Raw genomic sequence first — 4,095 nt, 5'->3', positions numbered from 1 at the left:
GACATTATAATCCCTCTTTCTGCAGTCAAGCATTTGATTAAACTGTTCATTTTCAGAAGGCTACCAGACTAGAAAACTACTATCTAATGGCATTTAATTTCCATACACTAATTCTAGTTGCATCTTTAATGAAATTAACAAGGCCCTAGCTTATTGTAGTAAAAGGAAACATAGTAGTAACCTGGTCCAAGTCTTCCTTTTACAATGAGAAAATTATGGATCTGAAAGGGAAGCAAATTGGCTGAGATCATAGATGTAGGCACTGCTCAATCAGAGATGGTGACATGGGTCCCTTTCCTTGAACAACATGGACTCTGCCTGGCTGCATTCCCAGGGATATATAAAAAGAAAATATGCAAAGATACGTTTATACCAAAAAACATCTGGCTGTTTATTTTCATTCAATATAGTAAAAAATGCTTTCTTAGAGGATGATAGCCATGTCCACATACACAATTAATGAGGAGCCTCGGCTGGAACCTCACTTAAGTCACTTAGTTTGTGAGATTCTTGAGGATAGTCTCTATCTTATTCATCATCTGTCTTCCAAATATTTAATCATGCCTGGCATATGGAAAGTATGCAAAAAATATTTTCTGAATTAAACTGCTTAAATTTGAACTCTCAGAATACCTGTCAGCCATTAGGTTTAGGATTTCTTCATATTTTCTGACAACTGTGCAGGTTTTCTTACCATTGTGCAGGTGCCTGTCCTAACTACTGAACTTAGTTCTGAGCCAGTGAAAGATGATCTAAGCTGGAAAACATTAGAAGAAGAAAAAATGCCAGCAAACTCAATTAAATTGATATATACAGCATACTAATAATTTTAATCTTGGGTTCACCAAATAATGTTAAGTTAAAGATTCCTAACATATAAATATGTGTTACAATTATAGTAGTGGACCAAACACTATCAAACAGTGTACTAAATAATTCAGGAACTACTCTTAAATACCTGTTGTATCTGATTTTCCTAAGAGGAATACGTAGAATTTTCTAAAGAAGGTGATGTAAAATTTTTCCCAGTCACTTTGCCAGCCAGGGACTTCCACTGGTGACCAGTGACATCCCCAACCAGGTCTCATTCGGCCCCCAGCCATGCTTCAGGAGGTGCCCCATCCACTTGGCCCATTGGACCACACTTGGCTTGCGCACAGGTCTGGATTCCATGCTCACTACAAGATCCACACTTAGCCTGTGGATGGGCCAGGCATGCTCCAGCCCACCTATGTTACAGCTGGTACCCACATTTGATGGGTCTCAGGCTCTTGTCCTGCATCCAAGAAGAATGAGGTTATGGTGACAACTGAAGGGTGAGGAGGGTGGAGAAATATTTTATTGAGTGACTTAACAGCTTTCAGCGGAGAGGGGACACAAGGGTGGCCCACTAAACAAAATCGAGTGATTTTTCCCAGTGTGGCTAAGTCTGGCGATTTTATAGGCTCTGAATGGAGAACTACATGCTGATTGATTTGCGAGTATACAAAAAAAAGTTAAAACAAAGGCACCACTCAAAGGTGGGTACAACAGTGTAAAAAACAATTAGGGAGAGGTAGGTATATGCAAAATAGATGAAGGATGGGGATCAGAGGAAAGCATGCCGCATGGGAAGAGAGGTTCTCAGTCCTTTCCTTGGATTTGATTTGTATCTTGACTTTCAAGATTTAAACTGTCTTTGGCTGGAAAGTGGGGTTTCACTGGGGACCTGCCCTATCTGCCTAGGGATTTGTCTGCCTCCTGCCACTATCAACTCCCCCCTCTGAAGAGGTACATTAACTGCCATTAGGATAGAGATGATGATGGCTCTTAACTGCCTCATGTGGACAGGGCCACTGCTTTGGGAATACAGGCAGATCTCTCTCAGAGGCTTATCCGAGGGTTTCCAGTAAAAGGGAGACATGGTCCGAGACTCCAGTTGCATGACCATTTGTAATTTGATGGTCTGAAGGTGAGAAGAGACAAACTGGGTTATTAGAAGACATGTATCAAAATGAAGCAAGGGGGTAAGGACAGCTCAAAAATCCTGATGCTGCCAACACAGCCAGATAGCTGGTTGTTACAGTTATGCTTGCTAAGATTTGGTGTATGGGGATTGGCTCTGGCCAGCTCCCTTTGTCTTATTCTACCAAAAAAAAAAAGAAAAGCCTGGGTTATTGATACCCCACTCACTCCTATCCCCTGGGAGGATTTGCAGCGTAATTGCCCAGATTTAGAACATTGATCCAAATTTTTACAAAGCTTTCAAACTTTTGTTAATCTCGAAGCCACCAAGGTAAATACGTCAAAGTGCAGTGAGTACATTTGCCATGGTTCTTAGAATATGTTATATTATATTATATTATATTATATTATATTATATTATATTATAAAAACCTTTATGATTAAGAAATTTGGGGTTTTCATGGAATAATTGCATTTATTAAAAGCCATTCTCTTTTTCAAATATACTATAAGCATACGTCTGCATCACAAGTTAGTTTATATGTAACTGATAAATAAGAGAAGGATTCTTTATAAAGCAAATGCCAGGTTGCTTCACCTTTGATATTTCCAAGAATTCAAATTCAGAATGTTAACACAGCTGAGTGTATGCAATAGCAATTTACACCATGTTCTTCCTCTTTGCAATATTTGGTCATACATTCAATCTTGGAAGTACTTATTGCCCTGTTATATTCTCCAGGCAATTTTTTAAATTTTTCTCTCGACTTCATAATTCAATGTTGTGTAACTCAACTTACATTGCCGCTATCAAGAAAATTTTTATTTTTATTTTTAAAGGAAAATCTATTGCTTACCATAGTCTTTTTTTTCTTTCTTTTGAGATGGAGTTTTGCTCTTGACACCCAGGCTGAAGTGCAATGGCACGATCTTGGCTCACTGCAACCTCTGCCTGCTGGGTTCAAGCAATTCTTCTGCCTCAGCCTCCCAAGTAGCTAAGATTACAGGTGCCTGCCACCACATCCAGCTAATTTTTATATTTTGAGTAGAGGTGGGGTTTTACTATGTTAGCCAGGCTGGTCTCAAACACCTGACCTCAGGTGAACTACCCACCTTGGCCTCTCAAAGTGCTGGGATTACAAGTGTGAGCCAACATGCCCACCTTACTATGGTCTATTCTATATATTAATAATTTAATATTACCTTTTAAATTTTTTGAAAGTAAAACTTAATCATGAGACTCTTACAAACCCATACAATTTTGTTATCTGTTAGTGGAATCCTTAAGAATTTATACTAGTCTTGGGTGGACTAACCAACACTTATTCTCCTATTAGCTCTGTTATTTTCAGTGCATGCATGACTTTGTAGAATGCAAGATTTTATATGAATTAATTTATTTTGCTATCACCCAATACTGTACCACAATTTGGGGAAGCTAAGATAATTAAGAGGAAGGCAAGGTCTTAAAAGGAGTTCAAAATTTTATAAAACACAGATAGTACAACTATAGACCTATAAACAAGACATCATAGGAACACAGGAAAGAGATAAATTAATCTAGCATGTAAAAGGGGGGTAATCAAAAGGTTTTCAGGAGGTATTGCCACCTGGTTGAGTGGTTCAGGACATGTAGGTAAGAAGTGGAGTGGCTAACAGGACTGGGCATTTCAAACATACTCATTGAAACCATAAATAAATAATAAATAAATAAATAAGCATATTAGCAGAAGCAGGGGTTTATTATTTCTCAGAATATCTAGTCCAGTACTGTTACGGGATCTTTGGGGTATCACTTCACCAGCTATAAACCTCTGTGGCCAGTGGAGCCTTTGCCTGAGTTTTGCTTGGACCCACTGGGCCCACTTAGCCTAGCAGGTTGTGATCGGCTCATGCTACCAGCCTGGAACCTATGCCTGCCAAAGGCAAGTGGAGCAGTGAGGGGTGTATAAGCAAGCAATTATGGGGTTCAGTCACTGAGTGCAGCCAGGCACGCTGGCTGCAGCAGGGAGGGCAGCTCGAATTGCTGCCATGGGCACTGGCTCCCTGCAAGGCTGTGACTGGACCAGGTGTCCCAAAAGCTTCTTCTACAGTTGGTACTAGGGGATGCAGTGGTGCCTGGAAGCTTGGAGATGCTAGGAACCACAGAGC

The 4,095-nt window shown here is 40.0% G+C and overlaps 2 annotated features.

The window, feature by feature from the left end:
• Positions 2,762-2,931: an enhancer, noted in NCBI's record as "experimental_14760 CRE fragment used in MPRA reporter constructs". NCBI's record gives its function as "activates a minimal promoter by MPRAs in K562 erythroleukemia cells, with activity observed for both the introgressed and non-introgressed 10:66796261 or rs7081699 variant alleles {active_cell/tissue: K562}" and the evidence as "EXISTENCE:reporter gene assay evidence [ECO:0000049][PMID:34662402]".
• Position 2,846: a transcriptional cis regulatory region, noted in NCBI's record as "Neanderthal adaptively introgressed variant 10:66796261 (GRCh37/hg19 assembly coordinates) or rs7081699 in the experimental_14760 CRE". NCBI's record gives its function as "modulates activity of the experimental_14760 enhancer by MPRAs in K562 erythroleukemia cells {active_cell/tissue: K562}" and the evidence as "EXISTENCE:reporter gene assay evidence [ECO:0000049][PMID:34662402]".

This window comes from Homo sapiens, chromosome 10 (genome assembly GCF_000001405.40).
Source record: "Homo sapiens chromosome 10, GRCh38.p14 Primary Assembly".
Taxonomy (NCBI): domain Eukaryota; kingdom Metazoa; phylum Chordata; class Mammalia; order Primates; family Hominidae; genus Homo; species Homo sapiens.
Note: the sequence above shows the minus strand (reverse complement) of the source record. Positions and strands in the feature narration are given on the sequence as shown.